Source organism: Homo sapiens, chromosome 8, assembly GCF_000001405.40.
Source record: "Homo sapiens chromosome 8, GRCh38.p14 Primary Assembly".
Taxonomy (NCBI): domain Eukaryota; kingdom Metazoa; phylum Chordata; class Mammalia; order Primates; family Hominidae; genus Homo; species Homo sapiens.
The window spans coordinates 39,824,288-39,843,622 of NC_000008.11; the positions used below are offsets into that span (position 1 = coordinate 39,824,288).

At 33.5% G+C, this 19,335-nt stretch overlaps 1 protein-coding gene across 6 annotated transcripts in view; it reads right to left on the bottom strand.

Annotated features, from left to right (window-relative positions):
* ADAM2 (ADAM metallopeptidase domain 2) overlaps positions 1-13,940 on the bottom strand; it is a 94,493-nt gene extending 80,553 nt beyond the window's left edge. For all 6 annotated transcript variants that reach the window (NM_001437784.1, XM_011544479.1, NM_001278113.2 and 3 more), the window contains exons 1-4: positions 13,844-13,940; positions 12,849-12,925; positions 9,657-9,712; positions 532-610 (exon numbers count right to left, since the gene is read on the bottom strand). In NM_001437784.1, the coding sequence (NP_001424713.1) occupies positions 532-610; positions 9,657-9,712; positions 12,849-12,925; positions 13,844-13,898 (267 nt within the window). In that variant the 5' untranslated portion in view covers positions 13,899-13,940. The remainder of the gene's footprint in view (positions 1-531; positions 611-9,656; positions 9,713-12,848; positions 12,926-13,843) is intronic.
* Between the last annotated feature and the right edge of the window lie 5,395 nt (positions 13,941-19,335).

A 19,335-nucleotide genomic window follows, 5' to 3' on the forward strand; every position in this document is an offset into this window, starting at 1 on the left:
AAAAAAAGAACACTTCAGGCATGACTAATCCTGGCAATTTTATTCACTCTTCTTTATTATTTTTTAAAAAAATTATAGACAACATTAAATTAAGCTCTACATGTTCCAAATAGATGAAAATTTAATATACTCCTAAACGTGTGTGAAACTTCATGTGTACTTATTTGGTCCTTGAACATACTTCAAAGAAGATTAGATTCTTATTTTCTCCTCAGATTTAGCTTTCCTGATACAAGTCATGGTTTTTCATTTTACATATTTCACAACATATTTAGTCCCTATCACCTCAGGTACATAAGCCCTTAGCATGTGTCTAAATAGTTTAGAAACACTACAATCATGTCTTTTTAGTTAATCATCTGTTTAATAGGGCTAACTCAGTACATCAGTATACATCATTAACAGGAAAACATTAAACTTATGCCAAGAAGCCATGACCCAACACTTTAGACTCTAATAACATGTGGACACTAAATAAGGTGATCATAGACACTCACATGACAAAAATAAAAGAGATCATAAAAAACATACCTGAAAATCTTGGTCAAGTGGTTTCATAATTCCTGTGCCACTATAACTGTAAACTCTAAAATTATGGGGTAAAAAGTTTCTGTAACATAAAGATAAAATGGAAAAATTTGATTCTTAACCTTTTGTTTTGAAACATTTATTTTATTAATTATAGACAGGTAGGTTGACACAGAAAGAGCAAGAGAAACAGAGGGATATTTTCTAAATATATGGATTTTGTTCTAAATTTTACTCAAACATCTTACACTTCACTCACTCTATTGTTACTCTGTCCTCCTAGCTGTTTTCCAAACACAACAGGCAAGCTTGGACCTCACGATATTTGTACCATTTTGTTGGCCATTCCTGGAAAGTTCTTCAACATAGTTCATTGTTCTCCATCTACTTTAAGTCTTTGCTTATACATCAACTTCCCACTGAGGTTTATCTTGAAAATTTTATTTAAAATGTCAACTTGTTCAATCACCAAAGCATAGGATTTTTAAACCATACTCTAAATTTGCTCTATAGTTTTTGCCCAAGCATATATTACCTTCTCACATTCTTTCTACTCTATTTATTTATTATATAATTATTCATCTCATTTGATGATAATATAAACTTAGAGATTTGCATCTATGTTGTTACTAATACTAATGCACCCCAAGCATTAGTATTGTTTGCCAAAGTTACATAAAAAGTTAAGCTAATCTCAGAAGATCAGAGCATTTTTGTTTCAAAATTGATGACACAGTATCAAAAAGCTTTATGTAAATCAAGTAGGATAAAGGGAAATAAAAGTCAGATATAAATATATCATCAAAAGAAAAAAAAAGACTAACAAAAGCCCAGATGAACTTTAAAGATCTTTAAAGTTTCAAGAAAAAAGGATGTTACTTTTGAAGAAACGAATAATTCTTAATAAACCAATTAACAAATAATACAGCTACTTCATCAATAGAAAAGGAAAAAAAAGTCAGAAAACAATGGAATGATGATTTAAAAGGCAAACGACATCTTTTTCAAAGACATCTTAGAATTTATTCCAGCAAAAATTTATAAGAATATAGTTAAGTTGTTTCATATGAATTTTAGCATTGTTTTTTATTTACATTTCTGTGAAAAATGTCATTAGAATTTTGAGAGGGTTTGCACTGAATCTGTAGATTGCTTTGGGTACTATGGACATTTTAGCAATATTTATTTTTCCAGTTCATGAACATGCTTTATCTTTCTATTTATTTGCTGTTTTCCTTCATTTCTTTTAAGAATGTTTTATAGTTTTCAATGTACAGATCTTTTACCTCCTTCATTAAATTTGTCTAAATAGCCAAAACGAGCTTGACCAAAATGAACACAGCTAGAGGCATCATACTACTTGACTTCAAACTATACTGTATAGCCATAGTAACCAAAAGAGCATAGTACTGGTATAAAAATAGATATATAGACCAATGGAACAATATAGATATAAGAGAAATAAAACAACGCATTTACAGTCAGTTGGTGTTTGACAAAATTGTCAAGAAGACACAATGGGGAAAGGACAGTCCCTTCAATGAAATCACATAGAGAAAACTGGACACCCACATGCAGAAAAACAAAATTGCATCGTTTCACACACCATATTAAAAAAGCACTCAAGGCCAGGAGCAGTGGCTCACGCCTGTAATCCCAGCACTTTGGAAAGCCGAGGCGGGTAGATCACGAGGTCGGGAGATTGAGACCATCCTGGCTAAAATGGTGAAACCCCGACTCTACTAAAAATACAAAAAATTAGCCAGGCATGGTGGTGGGCGCCTGTAGTCCCAGCTACTTGGGAGGCTGAGGCAGGAGAATGGTGTGAACCCAGGAGGCAGAGCTTGCAGTGAGCCGAGACAGCGCCACTGCACTCCAGCCTTGGCTACAGAGCGAGAAAAAAAAAAAACAAAAAAACCAAAAAAAACTCAAAATGGATTAAAACTTAACCATAATAGTTATGATGCTAAAACTACTAGAAGAAAGCATAGAGGAAATGCTTGACATTGGTCTGGGTGATGATTTTTTGGATATGACTACAAAAGCACAGGTAACAAAACCAAAACTAGACAAAAACTAGACAAATGGGAGTACACAAAATTTAGAAGCTTCTGTACAGCAAAGGAAACACCACCACAAAGAGACAACCTAAAGAATGGGAGAAAAGATTTGCCAACTATACATCTAATAAGGGGTCAAAATCCAAAATGTATAGGAATACAAACAACTCAGAAAAAAAAAATTGAAAATGAGCAAAATACCTAAATAGACTTTCTCAAAAGAAGACATACATATGGCCAAGAGGTATATGAAAAACTTCTCATTCTCACTAATCATCAGAAAAAAGTATATCAAAACCACCATGGGATAACACCTTACTCCTGTTTGATTGGCTATTATCAAAAAGACAGAGGAGAACAAGTGTTGGCAAGGACATGGAGAAAGGGGAACACTTCCACAATGTTGGTGGAAATGTAAATTAGTACAACCATTATGGAAAATAATAAGGAGGTTTCTCAAAATGTTAAAAATAGAACTACTGTATGATTCAGCCGTCCCTTTACTGGGCATATATCCAAAGCAAATAAAATTAGTATGTTGAAGAGATATCTGTAATAAACATCTCCCAGGTTTATTGCAGTAGTCAAGATACGGAATCAAGCTTAAGTTTCCATCAATGGACAAATGGATAAAGAAAATGCAGTATATATGCACAATGGAATACTAGGCAGTCATAAAAACAAAAGAAATTCTTTCATTTGCTACAGGCTGGATGAATCTGGAGGGCATTATGTAAAGCAAAATAAGCCAAGTTTAGAAAGAAAAATATTGCCTGATCTCATTTATATGGAGAGTCTAAAAAATTCAAACTCATAGAAGCAGAGAGTAGAATGATGGTTTTTAGGGGCTGAGAGTGGGAAAATGGGAGATGATGGTTAAAGAGAAGAAAGTTTCATTTAGAAGGAATAAGCTCTGGAGAGCTTTTGTACAACAAGTTGACTGTAGTTAGTAATGTTTTATACTTGAAAATTGCTAAGGGATTAGATCTCAAGTATTCTCAACCTCAAAAAAGGTAAGTATTTGAATTGATGAATATGTTAATTAGCTTAGTCATTTCACAATGTATACATATCTAAAAATATGTTGCGAACTGTTTATATATAATTTTTTCTGTTAATTAGACCTTTATATAGCTGGAAGGGGAAGACTATGATTAAATAAAGATTTAATGACAAATAAAAACACATATAATTTAAAACAAGCAGTCTTATAATAGAAATATATTAAGAATTTCTGAGATATATCAAAATTAGCTTCAGATAGAAGCACAGAAATGTAGGGAGAACTAAAGATCACCAGAATTGGTAAATTTTGGTTAAATTAAAATGAATACTGACTTTATAAAAAATAGTAATACTTCATGGGGATTTAAAAATATACAGGTTTGTGATGTGTGAAAAAAAATAATGAATGGGAAGCAGAGGGTAAAGGGTGTTAGAGATTTAAGGATCTAAAAACATATGGTAATTGGTAGGAGGACTAATTTGTAATAGATTCAATTACTCAAGAGTTGATATGTTAACGTAGAGAAACTACTAAAAGAAGAGTAAAAGAATGTATAACAAATAATTTAATTGAGGAATAATGTATAATATAAATTAGTAGATTCAATCGGATAGAGGCAATGAAGAAAAAAGAGGAATATAAAACAAAAGATAAAACAGAAAAAATAATGTTTCCAAAATCATGTGAAAATTTAAACAATCAAGAAGAGTAAGCACACCTTAAAACTAAAGGACAAGTCTGGTTATAAACACCTATTATAAAGTCATAGTAATTAAAACTATGACATTTGGACAGATAAATTAGACAGGGTCTAAGAATGAGCATTTAAACAAAGAGAAGAGAACAAAGAATCCAGAGACTTCTTTATATACAGTCATTTAATTTATTAAAAAAGATTACATTACAGTGCAGTGAAGAAATATCATTTTTAAATTGTGCTGGGTCCACTGGATGCTAATTTGAAAGAAAAATAATTGCCAAAACATCTATGATGAGGAAAAAGGTGAAAAGGCTTTATCTTTAGGCTATCAAGATTTATCATAAATAGACAAATAGACCAAAAAGTTTAATCAAGAGCTTGGAAACAGATAAAACCATATATAAATGTATAATATATAACCATCATCACACAGAAGACATGTACAGAAAGATAGAAGATTCAATAAAGCTACTGAAACATTTGAAAAATCATACAGAAAAACTAAATTGGTTGTCTACCTTATAGCATATTCAAAAGCCAATTTCTGTTTCAACAAAGACCTGAATGGGAAAGGTAAAACTAAAAATATTTTAGAGGATTATATAAGATTTAGTCATGGCCTTTGAGTAAGAAAGGATTTCTTATACAAGATACAAATATAACTTACCATAATGGAAGAATTATCTTTACCAAATACCATAAGTGTGAAAACACAAGGAGAGAAAAGGTCAGATTAGAAATATCTTTTGACAAAGAACAAATGTCTTAAACAGGCACTTCACAGGGGAGAAATTCCATATGGCTAACTGCTGTATTTAAAAAGTTAGAGAAATTATTTACAGTTGGAGAAATACATATTAAATTACTTACAGTTAGAGAAGTTACTTACAGTTAGAGAAATACATATCAAATCACAGTAGGACATAAGTATATAATTATAAGCATTTAAAACTTAAAACATCTACCACTATTAATAGAATATATAATTCAGAGGAGTGTGTAAATTAGTATACTACTTTGGAGGAAATGTAATTATGAAAGTGCATGTAACTTAACCCATCAGTATGCTGTTAGTCATATGTCCTATAAAATCTTGTGCATAGGCCCAAAATAATATACATTTTAACATAACCAAACTAGACAGAAACAAAATGTTCAAAATAAGATGAAATAAATTGTTGTATAATCATGAAATTGGATGCTATACAGTAATAAAAATGAATAGCTTGGAATTACTTGCGACAACATTGAAAAAACCTCACAAACATTAATTTGAGTGACTAAAACTAGAAAAATCATCATAATTCATTTATTTAGAGTTAGAAAACAGACAAAAAGAAACCACATTAGCTAGGATAATAAATTCTAAATAAAATCAGAGAAATGGATATCACAACAATCCAGACAAGTAGTGAGACGGACTGAGGGGCTATTATAGCAAATGAAAAACAGCACAACTTCTTGAGTGCAGTCAATATATGTGTAAAGTCAGAGAGTTACATAAATATTCACTTCACGACACTTATTTAACTGCATAAACATATTTTATATTTTAATGTATGCCAATTTTATTATGCAATGAACATTTAAAAATTTTAAAGATAATTGACAGTGATTTTTGTGACAGAAAGGAGACCTATTTCCCAGTTTCCATCACCACTCTTGATATTGAAATGACAGATGAACAATAATTTTCAAATACAGGACTACACTATAAATAATGGGGTAATAAACTGGCCCATAGGTCAAATCCAGCTGATAGATTGTTTTTGAAAATGAAGTGGTATTGCAAAATAACCACACCCATCATTTGCATACTGTTTATGGCTGCTTTTACAACAGCAAGTAGTTGCAAGAGAGTATATAGAGCTTGGAGTCTAAAATATTTACTGTCTCCCCTTTGCCAAAAAATTTCCTGATTTGATTGTATTATAGGGTTAATTGGAATGATCAAAGCAATAGAAACAAAGGCTGGTACCACAGCTGAAAGAGTGAGCAGGTGAAGCTGTGGAAAGTAAGATGGATTCTGGATCAGAATCATACCTTAAGAATAGGTGGTTTAATGTCCTCTGGTCATTAGCATGAGAACACATTATTTACGACAATAGTCGCAAGCATCAGAACACATTGATGTGAGCATTTAAATGAAAGGAATAGAGCTAGAAATTTCCTCTGCAAGTTGCTAATAGAAACGAAAAAAAAAATCAATACCTGCTTCTGTCATGTCAGTGTTTGTTTCATCCCAGAATTTATATTTTGAAATCTAATCACCAATGTGATGGTTTTAGGAGGTGATACTTTAGAGAGATGATCAGGCCACAAGGCTGGAACCCTTATGAATGGGATTAGTGTCCTTATGAAAGAGATCTCAGAGAGTTGACCTGCTCCTTCTACTGTATGAGGGCACAGCATGAAGGAGCCATTTAAGAACCAGGAAATGAGCCTTCACCAGGCACTGAATCTGCCAGTGCCTCAATCTTGGACTTCCCAGCCTCTAGAACTATAAGAAATAAATCTCTGTTATTTGTAAGCTACCCAGTCTATGGTATTAATATTTTGTTACAGCAGCCCAAACAGACTAAGACACCTGCTGTACAGAGACCCTGGACAAAAGGATGCTACCCAATACTGACTGAGGCAGAAATAGCATCACATGCAGAAATGAAAACTCTAAACTATATCTCAGGCAGATGTGAAATGGATTCCAAGCAGCCCTATTATTATGGAACCCTGAGCTGATAAAGTGTAAACTTTTGACCCAGCTAATTGTCATGGCAGGAAACAAGCAAAAGCATCCATAAAACCACCCCTGAAGAGAGGCCTCCACAACACAAAAAAGATTAGAGGATGGTGGAAGATAAAGTTCACTCAAACGAGCTCATCAATGATAGTTCCAAACATATGGAAAAGTCCAAAGCTTGAAAATTGGGAGAAATCATGTAGAAAAATAGCAATAATCAAGTAAATTATGAAACTTAAGAATAAAGAGGTTTTAACGTTGAAACAGATAAAAAACAGAGATAAAAAGCCATAAAAGATTTACAAAGCACAAATGTGTCACTTTGTACAGAAATCCTAACCATGAAAAATATAGTCATTGAAAAATATTCTTGAAGAGTAGATTAGACATACATAAAGAGTAAAATGGAAATCATCGAGAATAAAGCACGAAATCAGGAATAACAGGAAATGTGAATGAGTACATAGAAATATGTGATAGATAAGTGAGTCAAAAATTGCTAACTTGATTCACTAAAATTTATATTAAGAGGCCCCAATTTTAAATATACATTTAAAAGCATCCCAGGAAAGGTTAGCAGAGTGAGAAAAAGCAACAATTAAACTTAAAAATTGATAAGAATCTCCATGATTCATGCAAGGATGTTAATTCTCAAATTGAAAATTCAGAGTCCTTAGAGATATAAACAAAAAGAAATCAATGACTACCATGTCATAGACAAACTACAGCATCTTAAAAGATATCAGAAGTACTCATTGGCTTGGTGTTACTCTAAATATCCTACTAATCTGGATCTCTTCTCAGGTTTCTCAAGGACACCTTGTGCAATGTCATAAAATTGGTTCCTGGTGTCCTTATTTTGTATATTTGAAAGCCCTCAGAAATGGTCATGTTGCCAGGAAAATGCACAGTTTGGTGCTAGCTCTGCATACAGTCCAGGCCTCGTTGTCTTTTGAAAGTAAATATCGTTATCACCCTGAGTGTCTATAAACTGTTGGCCATGCCTGAAACTAACTAGTTACCAAGATAGCCTGGGTAGGGACTGACAGGGCTTGACATAGACCAATAACAATAGCCACTAAAGGCTTCAGTACTCCACCAGTGTGGACTACCCAACAACACTTTATGCTGTCCCATCCCATAATATTATACACTTTATTCTCATCTGATGCAGGTAAAATGTAAAAACAATGAAAGCTTTGAATTTTACTTTATTATACATTTGGTTATTCATTTCTAAAATGTTTGATTTGTAATATTCTATTTCTTACTACTTTATTGATATTTTACAATAACGTTTTGAATGTTTTTGAGCCAAGAGTTTTTTGGCAACTGCTCTTGAATTTACAAATATCTGGTGATTCTCTGATGAAGGCTTTGTAATTACATTCTAATTTTATTGTGCTAGTCACTGAGGATATGGTTACTATTCAAAAGATTTTTTTATTTTAGTATGTGATTTTTTTTCTTAAGTACCTTTTCACCGCTTGTGTGCAAGAAAATAACCACATTATATGTATGTAAGGTATATAGTATGTGATTCATCCATTACATCACCATAAATTGTACTGTATATTCTATACATTTTTTCTAATAGAAAAAAGCTTAAGAAATCTACTGTTATGCTTACATTTTAATTCAGATATTCTTATATGTCTAATCATACTTTACATATTTTGATCTATATTAAACATTTATAAATACTGTATCTGTGATGCAGAAAGTAATTTCAGAGGATGCTTTACTACTGGTCACTGACTTGCTCTCAGTCTCATAACTTGACATTCTAAAGTAACAACTGTTGGGATTCTATGTCAGTTTGCTCTATGTATTTCTTGCAGAAGGCAGCACTTTTTTTCTTCAGAAAAAAGTAATTTTGAGTCTTTTTTTAATGTTATTTCTTCAAACTAGTACCGTCCATCTTATAAATAGAAAACATTTTCCAAAATTTATGATGTATAAAAAGAGTGCAGCTATGAATTCTAGAAATGATATGGATGCGTTTTTGATTTTTGTATTGATTTGGTAATTTCATTTGCAGGCTTCTGCTTTTGATAATTTGTAGAAATCTGTTCTTATCACTAGAAGAATCATTTCAATTTTCACTTTTCTTTATTTCTTAGTATATTGTGCTTGTTTTCCCCAAATTCATCAACTGGCCTGAGATTGAATTTGGCTAATTACAAATTTTATTTAATTTTAACTTAAGTCCTTAATAAGTTTTGATAAAGTATGTAAACTAGTTTAAAATGTGTCATGATTCATGACATCCAGCAATCTGCTATGTTCTTTGAAATATACCTTGAATATAAAAGAACTTAAAAATAAGCCATATATATTTTTATGAGAGATAGAAAATTATCAAAATTCATCCTTTATGAAACCTCTTGGATCACCAAATAAAAATTTGGTGCTACTGGGAACAAGAAGGAGGGGCACATACACTCTGAATTCAAGTTCTAGGTATGTATCATATATAGGCTTAAATCATATGATAAGGGATGAATGAATGGCAAGAAGCTAGAAATATTTTCAAATACAAAATAATTACATTCTGGACAATTTCAAGCAAAAATTATAAGTAGAACAAAGAGAATTGATAAAATAATGATGATTACCTACTTTTGCATTAAATTCACAGTATATGGTTTCCCTTCAATTACAATTTTGTAGGATGCCTGGCAGGAGAGCACAGTAAAAATACAAAGAAAATGAAAAAAAATGTTAGAAGGGATAACCATCATTTTACATTAATGATAATTGCATTCTAAAACACATTCATTTAATAAAAGGAGAAAAAATAGAATTTAATGCTGATTTATTTTAATGGCATTTGACATTATAATTCTAGATTTCATAATCAAAATAATGAATAAAATAATATATATACTTTATTTGTTTATTTTGAAATGTGTATGTTGATTTTATGACCTGCAACTTTATTGAATTCTGTTTGATCTAAGAGATTTATGGTGGAGTCTGGGGTTTTCTATATATGGGATCATGTCATGTGCTAATAAAGATATTTGACTTCCTTCTGATTTTGGATGCTGTTTATATCTTTACCTCTGCCCTTGATAGTTAGTACTATCAGTACTATGTTGAGAGTGGGAATCCTTGTCTTGTACCACATCTTAAAGGAAAACCTCACGCCTATTATCCCAGCACTTTGGGAAGCCAAGGCAGGCGGATCATGAGGTCAAGATTTTGAGACCAGCCTGACCAACATGGTGAAACCCCATCTCTACTAAAAGATGCAAAAAATTAGCCGGGCATGGGGCGGTTGCCTGTAATCCCAGATACTGGGGAGGCCGAGACAGGAGAATCACTTGAACCTTGGGAGGCGGAGGTTGCAGTGAGCCAAGATCACACCATTGCCCTCCAGCCTGGGCGACAGGGCAAGACTCCATCAAAAAAAAAAAAAAAAAAAAAAAAAGGTTTTAGTCCCTTTCCACTAATTATGATGTTAACTAAGGGTTTTTCATAACTGGCCTTAATTATATTCAGGTACCTTCCTTCTATACCTAAACTGTTAAGAGTTTTTAACCAAGAAAGGATGTTAGACTTTGTGGAATGCTTTTTCTGGGTCTCCTGGTGTCTTCATATCCACATGTGTCTGTGCTCAGATTCCTTGTTCTTGCAAGGACACCAGTCATATGGTATTAGAGCTGTAACTTACTATTAATTACTATTCTAGTAAACTCATTTTAATTTAATTACGTCTTTATAGACTCTGCCTCCAAATATGCTTACGTTCTGAGGCACCAGGGGTTAGGACTTCAACAAATAAACTCTGCTTTGGATTTGGGACACCTGTTCTGAAGATTCGACTTTATAAAGCCATTTCTTATTAAAATATGTTTACTATTACCTCTTCTTCTTTTCTCCCCTATTTCAGGAATGCCAATCACTCTATGCTTAAGCTTCTAATTCTGTCCTTTTCTCTTAGCCTTTCACATGTTGCATTTCATCTTTTCAGCTGTCTCTGTTCTACTCTAAATTCCTGACTTTTATATTTTCATACTGCATTTCCCACTTTTAGAAGTTACATTCAATTATTTTTAAAAATCTAGTAATTTTAGGCCATGTGCGGTGGCTCACGCCTGTAATCCCAGAACTTTGGGAGGCCGAGGCAGGTGGATCAGGAGGTCAGGAGATCGAGACCATCCTGACCAACGGTGAAACCCCGTCTCTACTAAAAATACAAAAAAACTAGCTGGGCTTGGTGGCAGGTGCCTGTAGTCCCAGCTACTCAGGAGGCTGAGGCAGGAGAATGCTGTGAACCTGGGAGGCGGAGCTTGCAGTGAGCCGAGGTTGCGCCACTGCACTCCAGCCTGGGCAACAAGCAAGACTCCGTCTCAAAAAAAAAAAAAAATCTAGTAATTTTAGGTTGAATAATCTTATGGTTTCTAGCCTTTATTAACTGTAATAATTCAAAATATATAGTTTCATATTATGTTTATAGTATTTGTTGAATTAATTAGCATAATAGCCTAGTTTGTTTTAAAAATACTGTTAATTCATTACAGTATTTTAAAAATAAACTAGGCTATTATGCTAATTGTGTATTTAACTCCCTTTAACTCCTTAACTCCCATTAACTCCCTAAGCAACTGACGGTCAACAATTATCCCTTGCACTATTTTTTTGTTGGTGGTGGTGCTTTGTTTTGGTTTTGGTAACCACAAAATCAAAAAGGAACTTTTTGATGACCAGCTATTCCAAGTTTCTCATTTACAAATGAGAAAATAATGAGCCTGATTAGTGCACAAAAGCATAAATACACATAGCATTTGTATCTGACACTGTTCTAGGCAAGAAGAATACAGACATTAACAAAATAGACAATTTTTTCCTCATGAATTTGACAGTTGAAAATGGGCATTTTTTTTTACTTATTGCAAATAACTATCTTATAACAATCAAGTTATTCTTGTTTGAAATACTTCTCTCCAAATAGATTCTCTGCTTATTTTCTACTATTATTAACATCTCCATAATAATTTTACATTAAAAATGTTTCATAAAATATTGTTAAAAGCCTCACTGCTTTTTTCTATTTAAATGATTTGTTTTAGTAATAGATATATAGATATGCATTCCTTTAAAAATGATTTAAATAACATCTTAAGCTATAATGTCTGTATTAGGATGACAAATGGATATATGCTAAGGAAATGTTTGCATTTAAATTACCAGAACATCTGCTACCAAACCAAAAAAAAAAAATTGATGTCTCAAGAAACCACATTCCACTTCAGAAATGGATTCTAGAACTTAGTGAAAATGATAAGAAGATTTTAAATTCAAATTTTAAAAAGAGAGTAATAATTCTGAACTAAAATAATCTAAAATAGCATGAAAGAAAGAGTTCTAATCATTAACATATTCGCAATCAGGGCTAAAAAAATCATTAATATAACACATCATTAATTCAAGTGATCATCATCCCATATAAGCAAGCCAAGGCTTACTTAGCAACAATGACAAAAAATTCCTCCAAATACAGCCTGAACGGTGAGTGAGAACAGAATCTCTAGAACAATCAAGCCAATGATTATTCAAAGACATCCAAGAGGAAGACAGATTCAGAAAATGGACTTGGGGCTTTGATAACCAGCATCACTGCACCATTATTTCTGTGAAACATTGTTGATCCTGGTTCATTTTCAAAAGGGCTTTTCCATTCAGGGAAAATTTGGTATAAATATAAAATTCAACAGGTGTGCATGAATGAAAAATGGCAGATTAACTTCTTAGAAACAAAATCTTTACATCATTTTAAATTTGTAAATACTGTTAGTGATTCATTACCTGCGATTCAATTCCTTCCTTTATTATTGACCGTATTTTCTCCGGAACTGTAATTTGCACAGGTAAACTATCAAAATCTGCAAAATGTGCAAAATGTTTTATTAGAACAATGCCCATCATTTCAGAGCGTGTTTTATGAGTTTTTCATCTAAATCTCTAATCTCTATTCTATACGCTGCTTCTCATTTTTATTATCTTCCCATTTCTTTCTAAAAATACAAGGAGGTTTTTTTTTCTGTTTTTCTGTTTTTTTTTTTGTTTTTGAGACGAAGTCTCACTCTGTCGCCCAGGCCCAGGCTGGAGTGCAGTGGTGAGATCTCTGCTCACTGCAACCTCCGCCTCCCGGTTTCAAGCGATTCCCCTGCCTCAGCCTCCCCAGCAGCTGGGACTACAGGCACGCACTACCACCCCCAGCTAATTTTCTATATTTTTAGTAGAGGGGGATTTCACCATGTTGGCCGGGATGGTCTCGATCTCCTGACCTCGTGATACGCCTTCCTCAGCCTCCCAAAGTGCTGGGATTACAGGCATGAGCCACCGTGCCCGGCCATATTTTTTTAAAAAAGAAGTAGGTGTATTGCTTTAGGAGTATTGCCCTGTAGGTAGGATCTGGTAACCTTGGGTCAATAGGTTCAAGCCCCTCAGGACAAATTAACTCACTCTGGACTCTTCAACTAGAGAGTACAGAAGTTGGGTCTCAACTTTCACTGTCGTGAAAAATGCAAAGCAGGATCTGAAACTACAATTTTGAAGCAACCTCTTAAGGCCTAGGACCTCCTATCTTATCTTTCCTAGGTTTCCAGGACGTGTGGGAAAGCCCTTATTCTACGTGGATTTTGGGTGGGGAAGGCGGCAATGTCGGGGATGAGCTTGGAATTGCTGAGTTGGAAACCCCTCAGGAAAGCATCCTCCCAGGGATGTCAATGTAACTTGGAGGCAAAGGGAGAGTAGCGCTGAGGGTCCCAAAAGGCCAGAGGAGGGGTTTTTCTGCTTACTACTGTCCATCCGCAGCCCGCCGAGCCCGCTGAGCAGAAACAAGACGCGCCACATGGCTTGAAGTCCTGGGTCCCAGCCGGAATAATGGCAGTTGGTGGTTACAGGGCAGTTGGAAGCGCGAGATGACGCCCCGGCCACGCAGCCTGGAAGAGGTAGGCGGCTGGGAGAGCCCAGGTGGGCTGAGGTTGGGTGTGGTGCGCTGTGGAACGTGCGAGCTCCTGAGCCCTGTCTCTTGCAGGACAAGCACTCCACTGGACGTGATGCCTAATTAAGGCAACAGCAACAACAAAATCACTTCCAACAGCTGAGGAACAGGAAGATTTATAAACACTTCTTAAGTAAAATTTCAATTGAATATATATAAACACGTATCAGGAGTTCGAGACCAGTTTCCGCAACATGGTGAAACCCCGTCTGTACTAAAAATACAAAAAAAAATTAGCCAGGCATGGTGGCGGGTGCCTGAAATCCCAGCTACTCGGGAAGCTGAGGCAGGAGAATCGCTTGAACCTAGGAGGCAGAGGTTGCAGTGAGCAGAAAGACCTTACCACTGCACTCCAGCCTGGGTGAGAGAGCGAAATTCCGTCAAAAAAAAAAAAAAAAAAAAAAAAAAGAACGAAACAAAAAACGAAAAAAAGTATATAATAAATCATAAGTTCACAGGTCAATTAATATTCAAGTGGAAAAAAAAAACAGCGTAACTAGTACCACGATGAAGAAATGAAAAAGAACCACCCAAATCCCCAGATTCCAACCTCACAACCATGACTTCTAAACAACCAAAGATTCGTTTTGTCTGTTTTTGAACTTTTCGCAAGTAGAAGCAATCACCATCTACTCTTTCATGTCTGGGTTCTTTTAATAGGATGATTGTAAGGTTCATACAAAGCAATAGTTCTGTTTTATCCTCATTGGTGTATATTACAAATTCATTAAATATAACACCACTTGTGTTTCCATTTTACTGTTAATGAATATTTTGTTTGTTTATTGTTCCAGCTATTAAAAATAATATTTAGCTATAAACATTCTTCTACATGCCTTTTGGTGTAATAAGTAAGGATTTCTACTGTGTATATTTCTAGAGTGAAGTTGTCGGATCACAGGGTATGTGTTGGTAGATACTTCCGACAAGTTTTCCAAGACTGTACTAATTTATACTCTCACCAGAAGTATATGAAAATTCCACTTCGTACACATCAATGCCTTGTTGTGTTGTTGTGTTGTCTGTAATGTTCCTTCATTGTAATGAACTTACCAACTTTTATATCAAGACATGCTGCCCTCATAAAAGAAATTAAGAAATGTTATCTCTTCGTTTAATCTTTGAAATAGTGTAATGCTGTGAATATTTATTCTTTTAATGTTTCTTAGCATTTAGAAATGGAGTGATTATGACCTGGAGTTTTCTTCATGAGAAGATTTATTTACTTTTTTATCTAATTTCTTTAAAATATTCATATTTTTTTCTTTTCGTGTTGGTTTGAGAAAGTTATGTTTCTGAAGGAATTTGTCCATTTCTTTGGGGTTGTTAAATTATTGACAAAAGTTGTTCATAATGACTTCCTCTCCTCTAGCAACTTTTTAAGGTCTATAGCACCTGCAGACATATCTCTTCTTCCATTCTCAATGTTGATAATTTGTGATGTTTCTCTTTATACTGGGTAAATAGGTCTTGGAATGTATAATTTTTATTAAGTTTTACAGGAACTCGGTTTTGGATTTCTTTATTTTTTTCTGTTGTATGTTTTCTGCTTTGTTGATTTTGTTCTTGGGTTCTTTTCCTTTTTTCTACTTTGGGCATAATGTTCCTTTTCTAGCTTCTAAGATTGGAAGTTTATATTATTTATTTTAAACATTTCTTCTTTTAACCTATGCCTTTAAACTACAAATTTCCATGTATTTCCAAATTTCTATCTATTCATTGCTTTAACTTCACCATTGTATTCTTATACTTTATTTTGATATACTTTACTTTCATTAATATTCAATTCTAAATGTTTTCTAATTTTCATCATGATTTCTTTTTGCCCCACATGTTTATTGGTGTTATTTAAATGCCACATATTTAAGCATGTATTAATTACTTTTTTATTGATGTCTAACTCAATTCCATTGTGATCATAGATTGTATTTTGAATAATTTCAAGTCATTGCAATTCACTAAGAGAAAATTCATTGCCCATTATATGGTTCATTACATTGAATGTTTCGAACTTTAAAAGAATGCAAACTTTAAAAGAATGCAGACTATTTAGCTGTGGATTATATTATTCTTTAAATGTCAACTAGATCAAGTTGGATAATACATTTTCAAATATTTTATATCCTTATTAATTCTTGTTCTTTTATTATGTCCAACTAAGAATACTTTTCTATTTTTCCTTTGTGTTTTATCAATTTTTAATTATCATATTTTGAAGATAAGTTATTTTTTTAAAACTCATTTAGGGAGGTTTTGTCTTCCTGATGAAGTGAACTTATGTCATTATAATGTCACTCTTTGCCCATACTGGCTTTTTGCCATTAAGCTTATTTTATCTATCACTTCCATAGCCAGATTTTTAAAAAAATAATTAGAATCTGCTTGGGATATTTTAAAAAAATATTTCACTTTAAAGGCATATCCTTAAAGTTTGTGTGTGTGTGTTTGTGTATAAATAACATACAGATTTTTAAATTCAGTATGATGAACCTGACTTTAATTGAAGTATTAGGTCCATTTCCTTACAGTAATTACAGACATGTTAAGTTTATGTCTCTCACCTGCTAGCAGTTTTCTATTGTTTTCCTACTAGTTGTCTGGTCTTTTATTTTTACTTTCTTACCTCTTTTGGATAATGGAAGCTGCTTTAAATTTAATTTCACCTGGTCTCGTTAATTTTTGAATATACTATTTGTTCTTTTGGGGGTTTTTAATGTTTAGAGATTATATTATATATCTTCAACATATTGCATTCCACATACCCATAATAAACAAAGTAAGAATATTGCAATAAGATAATTCAATTTAATTTAATTTAATTTTTATAGCCACATATTTTACATATATACATATATGTATAATTAATAGGCTTTTTTAGGGCTGTTCTAGGTTCAGAAAAATACCCAGTGGAAAACTGGGGTTAAGGTCACATATCCTTAACCCCACATGCACAGCATCTCCCACTGTCAACATCCTATATCAGTAAGGTACATTTGTTAAAATCCGTGAACATTGTACACATGGATACATCCTTAACAACCAAATCCATAGCTTACATTAGGGGTGACTCTTTGTGTTGTGCATTCTATGAGTTTTGACAAGTGTAATGATGTGCATCTATCATTATAGTGCCAATCAAAATTGTTTTCTTGCTGTGCTCCAATTATGCATCCCTCTCTTCTCTCTGAGCACTGATTTTTTTTACTGTTTCCATAATTTAGCCTCTTTCAGAATGTAATAATGGAATCACCAGTAGTATAGCCTTTTCATTTTGGCTCCTTTCACTTAGAAATTTAAGGTTCCTGGCCAGGTGCAGTGGCTCACACCTGTAATCCCAGCACTTTGGGAGGCTGAGGTGGGAGGATCACCTGAGGTCAGGAGTTTGAGACTAGCCTGGTCAAAATGGTGAAACCCCATCTCTACTAAAAATACAAAAATTAGCCAGGAGTGGTGGTGGGCACCTGAAATCCCAGCTACTTGGGAGGCTGAGGCAGGAGAATCACTTGAACCTGGGAGGCAGAGGTTGCAGTGAGCCAAGATCATGCCAACACTCCAGCCTGGGCAACAGAATGAGACTACATTTCAAAAAAACAAAAAAGAAAAGAAATTTAAGGTTCTTTCACTTTTTTTCATGACTTGATAGCCCATTTCCTTTTAGTGTTGAATATTTCATTGTATGGGATTTATTACTGTATCTACATCTCTATCACAAAATGTTACGTTGCTATTTTATTTACTTAATTTCAGTATCAATTTTTACAGGTCTTATATTTACACAGAGAAATTCTCTCTGCTCTTAGCTTATAAAAATTGTTTTTAATATTGTCTTCATTTCTGAAGTGCATTCCTGATGGCTATAACATTCTACATTAACAGGTATTTTTTTCCTGGTATCTTAAGCATTTCATCCCAGTGATTTTGCCTTCCGTTGCTTCTAATGAGAACTAGATTTTGCCTTCTGTTACTTCTAACATCACTCTTCATGTTGTTCCCCCCCAAATTTTTTCTGGGCTTGTTTTAAATAATTTCTCTTTATCTTTAGTTATCAACAGTTTGATTGTGATATGCCTAGATGTGCAATTCCTTTATATTGGTTATCTCAGAATGTGAAGTGTTTTCTGGGTTTGTGAATTTATATCTTTTATCCATTTTTAAAACTCTCAAATATTTTCTCTTTATATATTTCCCTATCTTATTTTCTCTTCTCCTCATATTGTGAGTCTGGTTATATTAGATTAGGTCATTTTATAGTTTCCCAGGATCTGAAATTCTCCTCTGCTTTTTAAATTATTTTCTTTCTATGTTTTAGTTTGAAAAATTATAGTGATAGTCTCTGCATTAGGAAAATATAATCTTCCAGTTGGTCCTCAGCTTATGATTGTGAATGTGTTATCAAATCTAGCATAATGATGGTTCAAGAAAGTATTATGGGTATGCTCATAAAGCACAGAAATAGAGAGGGGAAAGAGCTTATTTAGATAAATAATGACAAATACTTCCCAAATTTGGAGAAAGATGTAAATCAAAGTAGATGAAACTCGAGATTATCCAATCAAATCCAATCCAAACAATACTAAATCAAGACTTATTATAATCAAACTGTCAAAAATTAAAGAGAAGATCCAAAAAGTAGCAAGAGAAAGGAAGCACATCACACACAAAAGAAATCCACGTTGCCTATCAGATTTCTCAGCAGCAGGCCAGGAAAATAATGAGATGATGTGTTCAGAGCACTGCCAGAAAGAAAAAAAACAATAAACAAAACCTGTCAACCAGGAATACTTCACTAGGCAAAGCTATACTTCAGAAATAAAGAAGAGATAAAGACTTTACCATACAAGCAAACCTGAATGAGTTTATCACCACTAGCCCAACCTTGTAAGAAATACTAAAGGAAATTCCTCAGGATGAAAAAATAAAGATGCTAATTAGTAACATAAAAATACAGAGAAGTATAAAACTCACTGACAAGAGTAAGTACGCAGTCAAATTAGGAATACTGGAATACAGCGATGGTGGTGTGCAAATTATGTATCTCTTTATTAAGAAGGTTAAAAGAGAAAACCTACAAAAAAATAATAGCTATAATAATTTGTTAAGAGGAACACAATATAAAAGAATGTAAACTGTGGCATCAAAAACATATGTAGGGGGAATAAAAAGGTAGGGTTTTAATGCAATCAAAGTTAAGTTGTTACCAGCTTAAAATAGGCTATTATAACTAGATGATGTTTTATGTAAGCCTCACGGTAACCACAAATCAAAAACCAAGAGTGGATACACAAA